This window comes from Homo sapiens, chromosome 3, assembly GCF_000001405.40.
Source record: "Homo sapiens chromosome 3, GRCh38.p14 Primary Assembly".
Lineage (NCBI taxonomy): Eukaryota > Metazoa > Chordata > Mammalia > Primates > Hominidae > Homo > Homo sapiens.
The window spans coordinates 129,306,520-129,325,917 of NC_000003.12; the positions used below are offsets into that span (position 1 = coordinate 129,306,520).

The 19,398-nt window shown below is 54.9% G+C and overlaps 1 protein-coding gene, 1 long non-coding RNA gene and 1 pseudogene across 2 annotated transcripts, besides 4 other annotated features; 1 reads left to right on the top strand and 2 right to left on the bottom strand.

The window, feature by feature from the left end:
- Positions 3,744-3,803: an enhancer, noted in NCBI's record as "active region_20509". NCBI's record gives its function as "activates an Ori minimal core promoter by ATAC-STARR-seq in GM12878 lymphoblastoid cells {active_cell/tissue: GM12878}" and the evidence as "EXISTENCE:reporter gene assay evidence [ECO:0000049][PMID:35858748]".
- On the bottom strand, positions 8,252-9,767 carry H1-10 (H1.10 linker histone). Its single transcript, NM_006026.4, has one exon. The coding sequence runs from the start codon at positions 9,381-9,383 to the stop codon at positions 8,742-8,744; it is 642 nt and encodes a 213-aa protein (NP_006017.1). The 5' UTR covers positions 9,384-9,767; the 3' UTR covers positions 8,252-8,741.
- Positions 8,306-8,595: a silencer, noted in NCBI's record as "silent region_14721". NCBI's record gives its function as "represses an Ori minimal core promoter by ATAC-STARR-seq in GM12878 lymphoblastoid cells {active_cell/tissue: GM12878}" and the evidence as "EXISTENCE:reporter gene assay evidence [ECO:0000049][PMID:35858748]".
- Positions 8,976-9,105: a silencer, noted in NCBI's record as "silent region_14722". NCBI's record gives its function as "represses an Ori minimal core promoter by ATAC-STARR-seq in GM12878 lymphoblastoid cells {active_cell/tissue: GM12878}" and the evidence as "EXISTENCE:reporter gene assay evidence [ECO:0000049][PMID:35858748]".
- On the top strand, positions 9,752-18,050 carry H1-10-AS1 (H1-10 antisense RNA 1). The gene is made up of 5 exons (NR_026991.1): positions 9,752-10,826; positions 11,413-11,791; positions 12,024-12,118; positions 16,831-17,085; positions 17,662-18,050. It is a non-coding gene; the product is annotated as a H1-10 antisense RNA 1 (long non-coding RNA).
- Positions 9,906-10,245: a silencer, noted in NCBI's record as "silent region_14723". NCBI's record gives its function as "represses an Ori minimal core promoter by ATAC-STARR-seq in GM12878 lymphoblastoid cells {active_cell/tissue: GM12878}" and the evidence as "EXISTENCE:reporter gene assay evidence [ECO:0000049][PMID:35858748]".
- On the bottom strand, positions 16,525-17,457 carry NUP210P3 (nucleoporin 210 pseudogene 3; annotated as a pseudogene).
- Positions 18,051-19,398: the final 1,348 nt, after the last annotated feature.

Consider the following 19,398-nt stretch of genomic DNA (forward strand, 5'->3'; position numbering starts at 1 on the left):
CAGCTACTTGGGAGACTGAGATAAGAGAATCGCTTGAACCCGGGAGACGGTGGTTGTAGTGAGCCAAGATCACGCCACTGCACTCCAGCCTGGGCAGCTGAGTGAGACTCTGTCTCAGAAAAAAAAAAAAAAAAAAGCAAATCCTTATGTCTGAGAGCATACAGTATCATTTTATGAGTTTCAGGTTTACATAAATGGTATCATCTTGGGCATTCTGCAACTTCTTTTTCTCTAAGTCATCAGCTTTACTAGGTATTGCCAAATTGCTCTCCAAATTTTCACATATTTCAGGGGCATAAGAATCTTCATTTTCCCACCTTGCCAACATTTAATCCTGCTTACTAGAGCAATGGAACATCTTCCCGTCTTTTGTTCTTAGTCAAATCTGGACCAAACAGGGTAGCTCCCACCTGCCTGTCTAGGTGTGGCCAGGTGGAGCCAGGCCCTCTACCAATCTCTGGCGCAGGTGGGGGCAGGCCTAGGATGTGGCCATCTGGCCCCTCTGCTTGGCTCCCAGATAGCAGTCCTTCCCACCTCCCTCCCTTTCACCCTCTAGCAGTGACCAGGCTTGGCTCTAAGTCTTAAGGGTATGCTTCCCTGCACTGTAGCCTTAGAGGAGGCAGAGGGTCCCTGGGATTTCTGGTCCTGATGGATACAGGTGCCTGCCCCTCAGTCCTGTCTGCAAGTCCATCTTGATCCATTGTCTCATGCAAGGCTTGTATGCCTAAAGCCAAACCTGCTTTGTATAGAGGTGGAAACAGACCCAGGCAAGCGCATATGGCTTGACATAGGTAAGTTAAGGACAAGTCCACGGGACTCCTGGCTTGGGAGTAGTGTATCAGCTTGGGGAAGTTGGATGAGATCTTGCTTGTAGCCAAGAAGAGTCTGGAGGGTGGGTGTCGTGGGGGGAACCAGAGGCAGTAAGGGAGGTCTCAGACTCCTAGATTCCTACCTGGGCCTGTAGGAGCTCCCCATTCTTACCTGGGCCTCTTTCTTCTCAACCAGAGTGAGGAACAAGTGATGGGAAGGGTTGAACCTCATTCCCTGGGGATAGGAGCTTTGGCTCAGGCTCCTCTGAGTACTGTCTGCCTGAGAGGGTCCTCAGTACATACAGAACTTTTTTTTTTTTCCGAAACAAGGTCTTGCTCTGTCACCCAGGTTGGAGTGCAGTGGCACGATCTTGGCTCACTGCAACCTCTGCCTCCTGGGCTCAAGTGATTCTCCCATCTCAGCCTCCCAAGTAGCTGGGACTACAGACGCATGCCACCACACCCGGCTAATTTTCATATTTTTTGTAGAGATGGGAGTCTCACTATGTTGTCCAGGCTGATCTCAGACTCCTGGGCTCAAGCAATCCTCCCACCTTGGCTTCCCAAAGTGCTGGGATTAAAGGTGTGAACCACCGCACCATCCAAACCCCTGTCCTACCACAGAAAGTTGTAAAAGGCAGAGTCTTTCACAGTCCCTAACCAAGGCAGCCAGAAGAAGGATAGGGGTTGGGAGAGCCAAGAAGAGGCGAGCAAGAAAAGGAGCCTCTGGGAGGGCATATTTATAAGGTGCACTGGGCAAGGCTCTGGGGTCCTAATGACAACCCTCTATGGAGAGGTTGTTACCCAGGTGTAGACACTCAGCACTGGCAGATAGGTCTCTGGCTTTCACTAGTGTATGGCTACCTTTGGTTGAGTCCCCTTCAGGACATCATCATTTGGGGCTTCTTGTCTTGTGAAGTGGCCAGAAGTGTCCTCATAGAAGATCCAGTTGTGAAATCTCAAAGCTGGGGGACTTCAGGCCACATTTAGCTCACACAGTGATTTTGTTTGGCCCATACAATATATATTTATTTTTTAATTCTGGTAAAATGCATGTGACATAAAATCTGCCATCTTAGCCTTTTTTTTTTTTTTTTTTTTTTTTTTTTTTTGAGACAGAGGTCTTGCTCTGCCCCCAAGGCTGGAGTGCAGTGGCAAGATCTCAGCTCACTGCAACCTCCACCTCCCGAGTTCAAGTGATTCTTCTGCCTCAGCCTCCCGAGTAGCTGGGGCTACAGGTGCCCACCACTATGCTCAGATAATTTTTGTATTTTTAGTAGAGATGGGGTTTGTTGGCCCCATGTTGGCCAGGCTGGTCTCAAACTCCTGAGCTCAGGTGATCTGCCCGCCTCGGCCTCCCAAAGTACTGGGATTACAGGCGTGAGCCACTGTGCCTGGCCAAACATTTTAAAATATACATTCAATACTGTTAATTGTATTCACATTGTTGTGCAACCAATCTCTGAACCTTTTTCATCTTGCAAAACTGAAAGTTAAACAACTCCCCATATTTCCCTCCCCTCAGCCCTTGATAACCACCATTCTACTTTCTATCTCTGAATTTGACTACTCTAGATACCTCATTTAAGTGGAATCATGCAGTGTTTGTCTTTTTGTCACTGGCTATTTTCACTCAGCATAATGTTCTCAAGATTCATCCATGTTGTAGCATGGGTCAGAATTTCCTTCCTTTTTAAGGCCAAATAATATTCCATTGTATGGGTAGATCACATATTTAAAAATCTACTTATCTGTCAATGGACCCTTGGGCTGCTTCCACCTCTTGGCTATTGTGAATAGTGCTACTATGAACATGGATGTGCTCTTCTCATCACTGCTTTCCAGTCTTTGGGGCATTTACCCATGAGTGGAATTGCTGGATTGCATAGTAATTATATTTAATTTTTTGAGAAACTGCCATGCTGTTTTCCATAGCGGTTGGACCATTTTACATTCCTTCCAACAGTGCAAAAGTGTTCCAGTTTCCCCACATCCTTGCCAACACTTTCTATGTTCTGTGTTTTTTTTTGTTTGTTTGTTTGCTTGTTTTTTGTTTTTTGAGACAGGGTCTGGCTCTGTTGCCCAGGCTGGAGTGCAGTGGCTCGATCTTGGCTCACTGCAGTCTCCATCTCCTGGGCTCAAGCGATTCTCCCACCTCAGCCTCCTGAGTAGCTGGGATTAAAGGCACACACCACCATGCCCAGCTAATTTTTGTATTTTTTGTAGAGATGGGAGTCTCGTTATATTACCTAGGCTGGTCTTGAACTCCTGGGCTCTAGTGATCCTCCCACCTTGGCCTCCCAAAGTGCTGGGATTATAGGTGTAAGTCACAATGCCCAGCCCTGTTTTTTCATAGTAGCCATTCTAATGGGTATGGGGTGTTTTTTAAGTCCATATTTTAAAATAATGGGAAATTTCAGAAAATAGTTTAGTTTCCACTTTCAAAAATTTTGAGGAGGTGCCTCCGACAACCAGGCCCCATGTAGGACCACTGCTGCACTGAGGTACCCTACCCCATTCCTCCCTGCATGGCCAGACCACTCCCAGCCTCCAGAGAGGGACTTGGAAACTTTCAGGAGGTGCTTCTTCTAACATTATTTGGAAAACTGGGAAGCTCTGAAAACAATCAGTAAGAGCTGGGTAGTCACTGCCCCTCTTCAGGTGGAGTCTGTGTCTTCCAGTTGGCTAGAATGCTCTACCTGGTCTGGAAGCCCTCCTCACCACCCCCCACACCCATTTTTAACTGTGGAATTGGGAGGGCTTTGTAACATGCCAACTTGGCCTGGCTGAACCATATTTTCCAGAACTCCCTGACTAGTATATTTTCCATCAGGGTGGGCCAGGAGGCAGATTCTCATCAGATTTGGAAGGAAGCAACCATTTGGACTGCTGATCTGCTGACTCACCTGATTGGCATGAAGCAGCACCTGGACCTGCAATTGCTGTGCTTTTCCCGGACTCTCCTTCAGTTTTTTCTGACTCCTGGGGCAGGTGTGTGCACGTCTAGCTCTGTGGCTAAGGGTTCCAGCTTCTACCTTCATCAGTGAGGTCAGAGACAAAAAGAATAGACACAGGTTTCAGTCTGTTGTCACGGGTCCTCCCTGTGCTAGTGGGGTTTCAGTATGCTCATGTGCTCATGGTGTTCCCCTCCTGACCACCTGCCTGTGGACTTCAAGCTCCGTCAGTCTTGGAGATACAGCCTTACAGAAACTGCTTAATCAGCCCCTACAATTGTGCAAGCCAGTTCCCTGGTTTTCCTTCTCCATTGAGTTGACATGGGAACCTGAAGCCCTGCTGACTTCTCCGGCCTCATGCCCTGTCACATTGCCCCCACTGCTTTTACCACTACACCTTTCACCATTCCCCAAACCCAGCAGCCTGTGCTACTGTGGGGCTTCCAGTCTGGAATGTCCCTACCAGGAACTTTCTGGTTTATCTGTCCTTCTCCTGCAAGTGACTGAGTCCCATCGCTGCCTCTGCTCCCATTCACCCCTAGCTTGGCACAGTCCAAGAGAAGGGGCCCAATCCAGTAGGTGTTGAATGAATGACTGTGGACTAACCCCTTGGCATATGAGATGTTTTGTTCTCCCATACCTCTGCAAGTATCACCGCCCCCAGCTTGCAAGTGTGAGTAGCCCTAACAGCAGTTGCTGTGGGGAGAGCCAGGACTTCTTTGCCTCCTCATAACTGGTGGAGCTGCTGGAAGAGCTAATATGCCCTGGGCCACATCACCCAAGATCTGATGACTGGGACAGTGAGATAGCAGTACCCCTTGTGCTAAGAGCTCAGACCCTTCCCAACAGTCCCTGTGCTCAGCTCCAAGCCCTGCCCTGGCAGACAGACAGCTTTAGACCAGGTTGGTCTAGGGACATTGACTGAGTGGAGATCCCTTTCTACCAGTCACTAAGGCTACACACCCTGGGATGGGGCCTTTGCAGTGTCTGCAGAGCTGTCCTGGGGCCAGGGAGAAGGCAGATTGGGGGACCCAGAAGGCAGAGGTGAGATGTTGAGGCTCACAGGGAGGAGGCAACATCGCAAGCAGAGTAGCCCTGGCGACAGATAGGGTGCTAACCCCAGGGGGATTCAAGGGATTGGGGGTGCAGAGGCTGGAGGTCTTGGCCAGAGACAGTGTGATCAGACTCTGCCTAGTTAGCAGATGAATGATTTTTAAGTCTTTCTTAGCACCATTTACGTATGAGGAAACTGAGACTTGGGGAGAACAATCTTGCTTGCCCCAGACCCAAAGATCATAGTGGAGATAGGCCCACTATGGTAGCTTCTAGCAGGGGCCTGCTCCCACCTGCCCCCTCCTAATATTTAATACTAATCCACACTGGGCTGCAGAGGAGAGCTCAAGCCTGGGCTGTCTTGCACACAAGTCCTTTGCCTCCTTGCTGTACCAGGGTCACCTCCTCTAGAAAGCCCTTCTCCTTAGCCTCACAGTGTTAAGTGCCTTCAATGTTCAACTGGAATTGAGGCTTCTTGAAGCCAAGTCCAGGAGACACAGTAAATAAATGGTGGATCCTGGACTCCCCAGCCCACTGTAGGAGCTGAGCATCAGGGCAGAAAAATACAGGCTTTGGAGCTACATAGAGCAGGTTTGAATCTTGACCTGGCTGTTGGCCTCCCAGAGTCTCAGCAACTGCATCAGTAAATCTGGCTCTTGAACACCCTTTTTCAAGATTGGGGTTGTTTTGAGGTTGAGATCAGGCCTGTGAGTCCTCAGAGCACCAGGCACAGTGAGTACTCAGGTGTGGTTGGTTGTGGTCATATGGCATCAACTTAGGGTCACCTCTCAGGGATGTGGTGACCTACTCTGTGAACCCCACAGTAGCACAGGTCGCATAAAGTCAGAAAGCCACCCAGCTGAAGGGGCCAAGTGAGCAAGCTGGGAAAAAGGGAGGGGAAGGGCCTATGGGCAGAGAATGGGACACTAGAAGGGTGGTTCAGAGGAAGAGCAATTTGAAAGGACGACAAGGTCCAGGATGGGCATGTGGGGAGGGTTAGGTGAGTCACTCCTTTGAGTGAGAGACCAGGATGCAAGCAACAGAAACCCCAAACTAATGTATGCAAAAAGCAATGTATAGGCTCATAGGATAGTCAGGGCTATCCAAGCTGCAGGCATGGCTTGATCCAGAAGCTCCATTAATGTCATTAAGCATCTGTCCATTTCCTGGCTCCAATTTTCTCTATCTTGGCTCCTTATTCAGGGGGGCTTTCCCTATATGTTGACAAAGATAGTCACTGGCAACTCTGGACCCATGTCCCTAAAATTTAGTGATCCTAGCAAAAGAGCACCTCTTTCTCAGCAGTTCCAGGGAATTCTGTCCCAGGATTGACTTTCATTGAACTCACTGGATCAACAACCCATTTCTGACCTAATCAGTGTGGCCAAGTGAATAACAGACTGAACACTTATTGGCCAGGTCTTGAGTCATGTGACCACCCTGGGGCTGGGTTCCCAAGGGAAGCTCACAATATTATCAGCAAAGTGGATGGCCTGTCTCACTGAGGGCTGGTCTACTGGGTGCCTTTTAAGTGCTCTTGGAGGGTGCAAGCCTCAGGGTGGGGAAGACAGCAAGCTGGGGCCCATGCCAAGGAATGAAGAGTGGGTGACAAGAGGCAGGGGTGGGAGGTAGCACCAGAGGAGGCAGCCACTAGTGGAGGCAGGTGGTGTGAACAGCAAAGGATAGATTTTGGTGAGAAATATGGAAAGGCAATGAGGAATAAGGACAGCCCAAAGCACACTTTGGGGCACTGGATTTAGCTGGCCAGCAGCACCATCTCTTTAGAATCCTGGGTATGCCAAGGCCTCTCCTGGACCCTAGCTCCTGGTGGCCTATTGGCTGGCCCTGCAAGGAGTATGGGACAGGCCTGGGCTGGCACTTGGACATGATGAGATGGCCTCAAAGGACAGATGGTCAGCAAGGTGGAGGCCTTGGTTAGGGAGAAAGGTTCAAGGAGGGATGAAACTCAGTGTTCATGGAGCACTTGAACAGGCAGGCAGGAAGGAGCAGTGTCCACAGAGGACAAATGTCTGAGGCCTTGGTGCCCATGGCCCCTGCTGCAGCCCTCCTCAGCCCTCTCTGAACCCCAGAACCACCTGGGGATCTGGTCAGAAGGCTGATTCCCAGGCCTAGCCCCAGAGATTCAGATTTGGACAACTGGGACATGATCTGGCAGCAGGTGTGGAGCTGCCAGCCTAGGCCTACCTGCCTCCTAGGTGCCCACAGGCCCCCAGACCCCAAACAGCCACAGCCATGTGTGTCCTGATGATAGTACCTCTGCCCTCATCATTCACCATCTCCACACTAGCCAGGGAGCTTGGGCAGGGCAGGCACCTGGACTGGTTTTGTCTACTGCTGTGTCCTCAGAGCTTGGCCCAGGACAGGGCAGGTAGGACTCCCACTGGCACCTGGCTCTGCAGTTCAGTGAGGCAGGAAGCAGCAGGGAGGAAGCCACAATGGGTTATGAAGATTTGCAGAGGGAATGGAGTGGCAACTCACCCAGGCGGCAGAGAGGTCTGCCAGGCCCAGATCAGGGGTAGCAGCAGGCCTGGGCTCCTCTCCAGCAATGCTCCCTCCTCTCCAGTCTATGGCCAGGAGGTCCTGCCTCCACCTGTAGTTTCTGCAATTTCTTACACAGAGGGTAAAACGAGCTCTCCTGCATTCTCACCTAACTCCAGTCACTCACGCTGGTATGAGTATATATCCACTGTTTCAGAAGCTTCCCTGTTTCCACTGCCCTTGGGGGCCTGTTTTGCAGTTGTCCATTTTTAGGGACATCTGTTAGAATAGACCTTGACCTATTGCCCAACTGGACAGACAACTATCCCACATGCTGGATACCAGAATGTCCCAGGGCTGGAGATCCTTCTGCTCCTACTAATTTTCCCAGCAATCCTTTGGGTCCCGTTTGCACTCTAGCTTAACCAATAGGCTCAGAGACAGCAAATACCCTTCTGAGACCACACGTTGGATTGTGGTCAGGAACTCCACTCTCTGGCCACCACACTTCGTCCTGGTCACATCTCACTCTAACCCTCGCTGGAGTCAGAATGACTAAGTTTACAGGCCAGTCTGGTGTGACTTTGTAAGAACTACCTCTCTGGAGGCCAAGTTTAGGTCCCTGACCATTAACTCTGAAAACCCATTAATCCCCCCTCCTCTCCCCTCCCCCATCCCGCTCCCCGCAATGGCCGATGGACCCCCTGTGGGGGCAGATAGATCCATCCCTCCTAAGGGACCGATCCTGTCTATCTCCCTGTCCCAGGTACTTTAAGTTCGTCCCAAGCCAGCAATTCCCACCCCTTGCTGAAGGCCCCTGGCTCCAGGCCTACCCTGGCCAACAGATCTGGGGTATAAGGACCCGAGGGGCCCGCCATCCAACCCCGCGTGCCGAAGGCGCCCATCCCTATTCCACTCAGATTAAACGAGAGAGGCTGAAAGGTTTAAACGCTTTATTGTGCCCAAAAAAAGGCCCATGGAATGAAGGGAAGAGCCGCGCAGCCCTGAGCCCGGAGCGATTGTTTGTCGCGCACCCAAAGGCAAGGAGGGTGGGGAGCTGGGAAAGGATGCGCGGCCTCCGCGTCCCCGCGCGCCTGGGCCCGGCCAACCAGCGACCCCGCCCGGTGGGCAGGCGCGGCCTCGGCCATCGGCGCCTAGGGGCCAGTAACCATGACGACGGCCGTTGCCAAGGCCGAGAGCCAATAGAGGCGTCGCCGGGGCTGTTTCAAAAACCTAAAGCAAACAACGAAAAACGCTACATCGTTGGGGGAGGGGAAAGACTGAGAGGACCCGGGGCCCCTCCCTGAGGCTCAGACCAGGCCTCGCGGCCCCGGCCGGCGTGAGCCGTACAAAATCTACGTCACTTGGGGTAGAAAAACAAAAACACCGAAAAGCCCACGCCGGCCGCTCTGACCGGCCGACACGCTCACTTGCGGCCCTTGGGCACTTTGGGGACGCTGGGCTTGGCCGCCTTCTTCACCTTCTTGCCCCCGGCGGCCGCCGTCTTCTTGGCCTTGCCGCCTTTGTCCTTCTTGGCGCCAGCGCCCTTCTTGTGCGAGCGCTGCTCCGGCTTCTGGCCCCTGGCGGGCTTCTTGTCCGCGCGCCGGGAGCCGGCCGCGCCCGGGGCTGCCTTCTTCGCTTTGTGCGCGGTGGGGGCCGGGGCGGTGGCGGCCGCCGGGGCTCCGCGCCGCTCCCCGCCGCCCTCCAGCTTCTTGCGGTTGAGCTTGAAGGAACCGTTGGCGCCGGTGCCCTTCACCTGCAGAAGCGTGTCGTTCTGCACCAGCGCCTTGATCGAGTACTTGAGGTAGGTGCGCCCATTCTGCTGGTCGAACCACGGAACCTTCTTGGCCTCGGTGTAGATCTTGGCCAGCGACGAGCCGTTGCGCTCGCCCAGCCTACGGATGGTCTCCACCACCAGCTGGCTGTACTTGCCCGGCTGGTTCTTCTTCTTGCTATTCTTCCTCTTCTTAGATGGGGACAACGCCGCCGAGCCGCCAGCCTTGGTCACCTTCTTGGCCATTCCCTCGGCGGTCGTCACTGGCAGGGCCTCCTCGAGCTCCACGGACATGGTAGCAAGAGGATTGGTGGCGGGCGGCGCGCGGAAGCCGGGGGGCCGCGCCGGGAAGAGGAAGGCGAGGGGCCGAGGGGGTGCAGGGGGGCTGGGGGCGCGCGGCGGCTCCAGGCGGGAGCGGCCGCGGCCGGGCCTGGGGCCGGGCGGCAGGGCTGGGGTGGGGGCCGGGCCGGGCCGGAGCGAGGGTTGGGGGGCCCGGAGCCGGGGCCGGACTAGGGGACCGAGTTGGGGGTCAGAGACCGAGTCCGAGCCGGCGGCTGGAGCTGGGGACGTAGACCTAGGCCGAGCCGGAGCGAAGAGAAATCCCGCCGAACGCGAGACACCGCCGCCGCAGCTTCCACTGGCGCCTCTGGAACTCGCTGGGCGTGCGCGCTGCGCTCTGGCGGGAGGGCGCTTCTCTCGGCTTTTTATAGCTTCATGGCGGACCACGTTGAGAACAACAACAGCCTGGTCCGGGGCCAGCGCCAACTTGTGCTTCTTGGAGCCCCTTCTCCGGCCGCTGGCTTCTCGGACCGCGCCTCTCCAGCGCCGCCGCGCCCGCAGCGGGGCGCCCCGGACAGGGCCTGAGCTCCCGGCGCAGTGGAGAGGCGACTTGCGTCCTGGAAGGGCTCAGCAAAGGCGAACGGAGAGGTGCACCCTAGGCTGCGGGAGCGCGAGAGGAGGGGGGCACCTCGTTTGGAGGCCAATAGCGCGGGCCCCAGAGGAGGCCCCACGGCCGGGAGCTTGGCGGCCGGCAACCCAGAGAACGCCACGGGCACCCGAGCCTTGTCCCGGCCCGGGGGGCTCCAGGCCTGCCCGCAAGAGGAGCTTTAATTTGTCCAAACTAACACAGGGCGCGCCCTCACGTGGTCGGCTGGGGCAACGTGAACTGCGCTAGGACATCCTCGGGGGTTTTCCGCCCCATCCAAAGGGGATGGCGGATGGGAGGCACTCTCCAGCTGCACCCCGGGTTCTGGTTGTGCCTCTGGGAGCCTAGGCACAACCCGGGGAATGGAGGACTACGGCAGGACCTCTCTAGGGACACTGCCTCGCCGCTCCCCCCACCCTGTTGCCGCTGATGTTCCCAGGGCCTCATTTTGTAATCCACAAGTAGCTGCCGCCGGTCCCCCCAAAGCCAAATGGGGGCTCCAGGGTGGGACAGGGTGGGCGGGGGTGAGGCTGTGACACCCAGAGGAATTCCTGTGAGAGGATGGGGAAGGGATTCGCTCTTAGTTCCTGGGTGCACCCCTCCCCCTCTCCCGTGCACAGGGAAATGATGGCGGGAACACAGCAAAGGAGACCATGTCCTGGAGAGGGTCCCGGGCCCCACCCTCCCCGGGGGGGCTTGTGCAAGGCTGGCGGCCCGATCTCTGCTGATTCCAGTATTGGGGGTGCAGAGAAGGCACAGGACAGTTTTTGTTGAAGCCGTTGCAGCCTCCACTTGGGGAAGCTGAGGCCAGGGTAAGATGCTCGGGTAGGAGAGGGGATCCCTTTGGGGGTAGGTGATGTAGGGCACAGGAGTGGGGCTGGGGCTGGGGGGTGGCAGGGTTGCAGGCAGGAGACAGTCTCCAGAGGCCCAGCATAGAAAAGCGATGGAGGGGTGAGGGGGGACAGGACGCTGGCGAATTGGGGTTCCCAGAGTGAGAGACAGGAACATTTACAGGTGGACAGAGTAAAAGGCCCTGAAAAGGGGGTGGGTTGGTGCATTTGTGGCCTTGGGCCCAAGCAGGCTTCTCTGGGTGAGGGCTAGCAGCACCTCCCCTCTTCTCCAGCTCACCCCTTTCACACACACACACGCCCCCCATTTTGTCACCCTGTCAAGGGAATAAACCCCAGAGAGGAAGAAATTATGTCTAGGAGGAAACGGTGAGCCTGGATGGGTTTTTTAGGGGGGAGGCTGGCAGGGGCATGGAGCCAGGAAACAGCCTTCGCCCCCCAGAGCACCAGGTACCCTGAGAAAAGTGAGAAGAGAGATTGCAGCCCAGGTCCCTGCAGAGGAGGATGGGCTCCTTTCCCAGGAAGGACTGGCTGAGTGGACTGTCTCCAGGGCACAGGACAACGTTGAGGGCCTGAGGCCTCCACCTTCTTGAAGAAGGACCATGTGAATTTCCTGACAGAGAACGGGGATGGGTTTCTGAAAGCACCACCCAGCTGAGCCTGCCGAAACTGCACAGCTGTTTCCAGGCCAGGCTGGCTGCATGGAGGACGTGAGAGGAACAGCCAGCTGTGTGTGCTGGGCCCACTGATCAGGGTGCTCAGGACCAGGAGCCTTCTGAGGATGTGCAGAGGGGACTCTGGGGAGAGGAACATGGTGGCCACAGCTGGAGTGACCGCAGTGTACAGAGATGGGATGGGAGCAGGAAACCCAAAAGAGCCGGCCCTGGAACCAGGTGGAGGGGAGGCAGCCCGGCCATGACCCAGAGCAGGTGATATGATTTGGATCTGTGTTCCCACCCAAATTTTAGGTTCAGTTTTAATCCTCAGTGTTGGAGGTGGGTCCTGGTGGGAGGTGATCAGATCATGGGAGTGGATTCTAATGGTTTAGCACCATTCCCTCGGTGATGTCCTCATGATGGTGAGCTATCATGAGATCTGGTTGTTTGAAAGCGTGTTGCACCTCCCCTGACTCCCTCTCTTGGTCCCGCCCCTGCCATGTAGGACACCTGCTCCACTTCACCTTTTGCCATGAGTAAAAGCTCCCTGAGGCCTCCCAAGAAGTTGATGCCCTGTGCTTCCTGTACAGCTGCGGAACCGTGAGCCAATTAAACCTCTTATCTTTGTAAATTACCCAGTCTCAGGTAGTTCTTTATAGCTTTGTGAGAATGGACTAATACAAGGGGCTTGAGCTTGGGTCTTTTGAAAAGTTAAAGGGTGAGCAGAAGCGATACCCCTGAAGGAGTCCCAGCCATGGGCAACAGGGCCATCGCTTGGCCTTTTGTGCAGCCACCGCAGGGGGGAGGAGTGGCATGCTGGACATGCCACTCTGGAGCTGGCTGCAGCCACAGGCTGGGCCAGGGACACTCCTGGGTCATCTGTGCTGGAGGAAGGGGATGCTCTAGTGGAGACAAAGGGACAGGGTCACGGAGGAAGGCGGGACCCAGGTGTGGCCTCCTTCATGACATCTGAGGAGAGGAGATTCGAGAGAGGAGGGCTGGGCACCGCAGCCAGTACAGCCACTCACAAAGTAGAGCCGCAGTCCGGGCACTGAGGAGAGCGGCCAGGCTCGCAGCCACGGTGCCCCGGGGGACCTGGCTGGGACTGCAGGGGAGAAGCAGTCAACACAGGGCTGGAGCCCTGTGGGCAGGGCAGTGCTGTCCAGTCCCGGGGGGAGGACACGGAGGATGCAGCTCAGACCCCACACCAGCCTTGGTGGGCACACGGGCTGGGGGCCGGCTCCTCAGCCTGTGAGGGGAGCGGGGCTTTTGTCAAGAGGGAGGCTGCCTGTGGCGCAGGGCTCAGAAGACTAATTCTAGACTTTGGGAGCTGGCATAGACTAAGTGGGATCTTCCACTTGCCCTCATGATATGGTAGAGGCAACTGAGGCTTGAGGAGGGGGTTAGCCAGGAGACCAGGACTCAGGCTGGGGTCTTGCAGCCTTCAGGGTGCCTCTTACCCCCACACTGCTGGTCATCCCTTCTGCATTACCCCACCAAGGAAACTGTAGGTGGGGAAGGTCCCAGGTCCTCAACCAAAAAAAATGGCCAAATATGAGAAAAGGAGCTTCTGGAAGTGGCCAGGGCCTAGCAGAGACCAGGGCAAGACCATGTGCCCAGCACCTGAGTCGCGCCCTTCCCTGGGCCTGGCCAGTCTGGAGGAGGCTCTGGCTTGTGAGCAGTGGGGTTTCTGGGGTCGGAATCTGGAAGGGGCTCTGTGGCTGCTGGGCTCTCTCTCTCCTCCTTATCTAGGGGATTGTTCAGTCCTGGGGCTGCAAACACCACCAGTACCCTGATGATGCAGTTCATTTCCCTAGCCCGAGGTCAGCCTCTCTCCCGTGCAGACCCCAGCATCCCGCTCCTCTTGCCACCCTCACCTGGAGCCTGGGTGTGGCCAACACAGACCCTGCTCCTCCCAAACTTTTGCCAGTGATTCTGCCCAGAGACAGGGACTGCTCCCTGATTTCCCTACTCTCTTCCAACCCATGGCTTCCTCCCCATCTACCCCAGAACTGGTCCCACAGCTGCCGAGCCCCCACCCTCTCTACCCTTTCCACCCAGCCTCCTGTTCTGTCCGCACAGCCCCAACACAGAAGTCTGAGTGGTGGGTCCTGGCTCTGCCAGAAGGTCTCTAATGGCTTCTCACCAGACGTAGGGTAAAGTCTCCCAATGCCTTTGCCACTGGCCCCTACCAAGGCTCTGACCGCAGCTCCCCAGCTGAGCACTCAGCCTCATAGCCTTTTTTGCTGCCCACACATACCCAGAGGGTTCTCAGGACCTGGGACTTGCTGGGGTGGCCCCATGGCTGGCTCCTTCCCTGGCCGGCCTCCCTAGACCCCTCCCTAGGGCTCCTACCAGAGCACCCTCCCTGCCTGGCTCACAGCCCCTGCCATCTAGTATGTCCGTTGAGTTGTGGGCTGTGAGCTAAGTGCAGGGTGGGGGAGGTCATGCTCCTAGCTGTACCAAGGCGGGGTGGACACAGTGCGCTCCCGACACAGACACACCTGCAGCAGCAGCGGATGGGAGGATGGGGGTCAGGAGCTCCTGGCTGGGCTCTGACCCGGGCTGTCCTTCAAACGCTGGGTGTGATCCCTTCCCCACCACCACTGCCCAGCCTCAGTCTCCCAGTTTGTATAAAGGGGCTGGATGTATGGAGTCTGAATGATCCAGCTCGACAGTCTGATTCTGGGCTTCCAGACACACACTCACCATTCACACCTACAGTTCACACACACAGACACCTACTCACTCACACTCAGATTTACCTTCACACACGCTCACCATTCACAGCCACAGTTCACACCCACAGACACCTACTCACACATATTTACCCTCACACATGCTCACCATTCACACCCACACTTCACACTCACACTGATACCTACTCAGTCATGCTCACACACACTCACACCATTTACACTTACAGTTGACACACGTACACATCACCTACTCACACACAATTTACCCTCCTACTCACATGCTCACACACCATTCACATAGTTCACATTCATACACACACCTACGCATCCATTCACACATATATGCACACACACTCATACCCACACATTTATCCTCACACATACCATTCACACCCACAGGTTCACACACATTCACCTACTCACACCTGTCATCCTCTCATTCACATGCTCACAAAATGGTCACACAGTTTACCCCTCACACCCACACACTAACCCATTCACACTCACAGATTCGTACACATACACCTACTCAGACACATCATCCACCCATTCACGTGCTCACACACACATGTTCACACAGGCATGTGCCCTTCACACTCATAAGCTCACCATCACATACCCTTCACACCCACAGGTTCACACACGCATTCACATGCTCCCACTCACTTCCCTCACACACATATGCTCACTGATTTACACAGCCACTCGCACTTATACATACTCGCTCACATTCACACAGGCTCACCCATTCACACACACTCGACACATTTACCCTCACATTCACCCACTCACCATTCCCACTCACCAGTTCACATGCACTCACCCAAGCTCACACTTGACCACGGACACACCCTCAAACATAGGTGCTTACACACAAGCCAACACACACTCACCTAGCCATTCATACTCACGTGCACCTATACCTTCACACACATCCTCACATACCCACACAGCTCTACACATACCCACTTTCTTACACATTCACACACATACCTATAGACACATTCAAACACACCCATTCTCACATCCTCAAAAACACCTGTGGCCACTTACTCACTCACACACAAGGTCGATGCCAACTGCAGGGAAAAACGTGGTGTCAGCCAGGGTCTGGCTGGAGGCTCCCCCTGCCCTCGCCCTCTCTGTCCTGTCTTGTTTCTGCCCTCATGTTCTGGGGACCTCGAGACTGACACACACAAACACACATGCCCATGACAGAGGCCCCAGAATCTGGTGGCACCTCGCAAAGCTCAGGCTGCAGTGGGCAGAACCCCTGGCCACCGAGCCAGCTGCAGGGCGCTGCCTCCCTGACCAGACACAAGCTCCCAGCACACACCCCTGCCCACTCCTCATCATCTGCTGGGAGGTCAGCGACCGCACCTCTGCTCCCAGACCAGAGGAAACAACCCTAGAACCCAAGGGGCCAGGACGGTGACACATCTGAGCAGAGAGCCAGTGCCAGTGCATAGAAAGGACACCTGTCACCACTCCATGGGACAGCAGGACTGATGTGCCCTGCACTGACCACGAGGACTCGAGCCCTGTCTAACGCGAGTCCTGCTGGCTAATGCCACGTGCAGGCAGGAAGATCAAAGCAGTGACACGTCCCATGTGATGGGGTTGGAGATACTTATGCCTTGAATTTGAATGTTTTCTCTAAGAGCATATATCTATATATCTATATCTATATACAGATATATATAGCTTTCAAAACATAACTTTTAGAAAAAGAAATGTTAATGAAATTCAAATCTGTATTCCAGAATATTCCAGAATTTATTGTATTTTCTTTTCTCTATTTTTTCACTATTGGTTTTTGTTGGGCTTTTTCCTGATTACAAAAAATGCATTGCTATGATGGAAACCTCAGGAAATAACAGAAATCATAAAGACTGTGATTTAAAGTAGGCCACTAGAGAGTAACGTTAAAAGTAACAGAATGAGGCCGGGCGTGGTGGCTCATGCCAGCACTTCGAGAGGCCATGGTGGGAGGATCACTTGAGGTCAAGAGTTCGAGACCAGCCTGGCCAACATGTGAAACCCTGTCTCTACTAAAAATGCAAAAATTAGCTGGACATGGTGGTGTACACCTGTAGTCCCAGCTACTTGAGAGGCTGAGGCAGGAGAATCACCTGAACCCAGTAGGCAGAGGTTGCAGTGAGCCGAGATTGTGCCATTGCACTCCAGCCTGGGTGACAGAACAAGACTCTGTCTCAAAAAAAAAAAAAAAAGTAATAGAATGGACGAAAAGCCACAATCCTATGGAAACACCAGAGGAATGCACCCAGAAGTGGGGGTCTCATGTAGCTTTATTGTGTACTGATAAGTACTTGTCTTTGGTTGCCATGGAAACGTCAAGATGTTGGGATACAGGGTGATGGGGATGTGAATTTCCACCTCCTGCTGGTTCCACACAGGCACCCATAGTGTGTGGACCCCTCTATCCTACAAGGGGTGAGGGTGCCACACATCACTATGACAACCATGTCATCAGCAGTCTTTCCCAGTCACTGGACCCCCACCCCTCCCTGGGGATCAGGCCACAAAGGTGGATTTTGTGGGAGAGTGGAGAGGAAGTTTCCAGACACCCTGCCACCCTCTCGTTCTCCACAGGGATGGCTTTCCGTGGCTTTGCTACAGCCACTCCTGGAAGTGCTGCCTGACTGAATCCTCAGGGCACCCCGGCAGGATGGACGTGGTGTACCCCCTACTTTACAGATGGGGAAACTGAGGCTTGAGAGCTAAAGCAGCCCACCCAGCTCCCAGAGATGAGGAGGCCGACTCTGGCAGGAGTCACTGTCGGTGCATGGGCATTTCTTCCTGTTACAGCCTGCGGCCCCTTCCAGGCCGGGAGGCCTTCTGCGCAGGGTAGGAAAATGGGAACACCCAGGCCGATTTTCCGATCAGCAAAGCTCTGCTCCCTAAGGCTGATGGGCTTCTTAAAGACAAAGGAAAAAAGAACCCAGGATGTAAGTAGCCCAAACAGGCAAAGGGACACTGGTGGCCCAACTCGACCCATGGCCCTCCTGGGCTGACATTTCTGCCTACAGAGGAGGGCTTCATAGGCCAAGGCACGACGCAGGGGAGACACCAACTTGCCTGGTCCACCACAGAGGTGAGGGCCGCGTCAATGGCCATCTGTCCCCTCTTTAGTGCCCTGACGTGATGGTATGACCCATTCTGGGAGGCCGAGAGCACCTCAAAGAACTCAGCAGGAAGCACAGTTTCAATTCAGAAGTTCTGGAAGGCGAGGCAGGACAGGTGAGAGGTGCTTCTGGGGTGACTCCAGAAAGTCAGAGTTTGGGCAAGAAGCTACAGAACTGAAACCAGCAGCCGGGCCAGGCCAAGGGGCCCCCTGGTGTTCAGCAGCCTCCACTAGCAGCAGACGGGCAGGTCAGGCCCTGGAACAGAGCTCTAACCACTATGGCCTTTGTCCCCACCCAGGGCACCCTCCCTGCATGGCCCGATGACCTGCACTCCTGTTTCATCTCCCCGTGTGGCACCTGGGGCAGCTTGGAGCCTACCAAGGTCTCAACAAGGAACCAGTAAATACCAAAAAAAGGACATCACGTCCCCTACAGCTAACTGCAAATGGTGACCATCCCAGCCCTTGTTTGATAACACAAGCAAAGCAATGGCTTCTTCAAGGACACCGAGAGGAACCTCACCTCTTTCTAAAACCTCCAACACAGGGCCAGGCGCGGTGGCTCATGCGTGTAATCCCAGCACTTTGGGAGGCCGAGGCAGGTGGATCACGAGGTCAGGAGATCGAGACCATCCTGGCTAACACGGTGAAACCCCGTCTCTACTAAAAATAAAAAAAATTAGCCGGGCGTGGTGGTGTGCGCCTGTAGTCCCAGCTGCTCGGGGAGGCTGAGGTAGGAGAATAGCGTGAACCCAGAAGGTGGAGGTAGCAGTGAGCCGAGATCACTCCACTGCACTCCAGCCTGGGCAACAGAGCAAGACTCCATCTCAAAAAACAAACAAACCTCCAACACCACCTGGAAGGGCCTGGAGGCACTCACTGATGAGCCTGGAATTTCTCACAGGGGACAGAGAGGTGGCCAAGGCTCCTGCACATTTCCCCATCTGTCTGACACCCCTTTCCAGAACCAGAAAGCGTGCTGAGCTCGGCCTCTGTCACGCAGGGTTCCAGGTATTTCTGGGGCTCAGCAGGGAGAAGGCCAGGACGTGCTCCCTGACTCTCGGCAGGGCGGGAGAAGAATGAATCCTCTGAGGTCCCCAGCTTGGGGAAAAGGGGGTGGGAGAGTGGCGGGCAGAGACCTCCTCCGTATCCCCCTCTCCTGAAGCCCTGCCGCTGTGGCAGCCCTACAGGGACTACAGGGCTCCAGCCCTACAGGGACTCTGCGGTGGGGCGGGTGTGCAGGCTCACAGGCTCTGGAAATGCCCCAGGATGCCTTGGCAGTGTCTCCCACAGACCCAGGAGCGCCACTAGAAACAGGACCCTTCCTCAGTCATCCTGCATGGGGGCTCCTGTTGCTTTGGGGGCTGCTTTCCAGCAGCTGCGTCAGACAACGACCCACCTCATCCCCCCAGCCAGGACCTGAACAGGCACTGACGTCAGATACGTAGACCTTGTTGCTGAACTTGTCAAAAACTTCAATGGTGATTTCATACAGGCGGCCGGTCTCCAGCACCCACCTATCACCAGGGTGAATGGTGAACCCTAAAACAGGCAGGGGGAGCCTGAGCACTCAGGCCTCAGGGGCAGCAGGGTGGAGGAGGATGGGACCACCACCCTCAGCACAGGGGCCCTCAGCATCCACATGGGAAGCCCCACTCCACCCACCTGTAGGCCCCACACCACCCACCTGCAGGCCCCACACCACTTACCTGGAGGCCCCACACCACCCACCTAGGGGCCCCACAATTATGGCGCTGGCCTCCTCCACAGAGAGGGACCTGTTGCTGAGGAACAGATGCCTGATGCCGCCTTCAGCCCTGAGTCCTGAGCTGACCTCCCGAGGACCAAACCTGGACTCATCCCATTCTATCTGAACAAGGCTCCTTCAAACTTGTTCCTGTTCCTCAGTGGGTCTACACTCAGAATCCTAGCAGCTCTGTCCTTAACACACAGCAGGTCTATGCTCTGAAGTGATAATAGATCTATAGTGTTCACAGTAGAACTAGTCTGAACCTTCAGGGGGTCTGTGCTCTGAG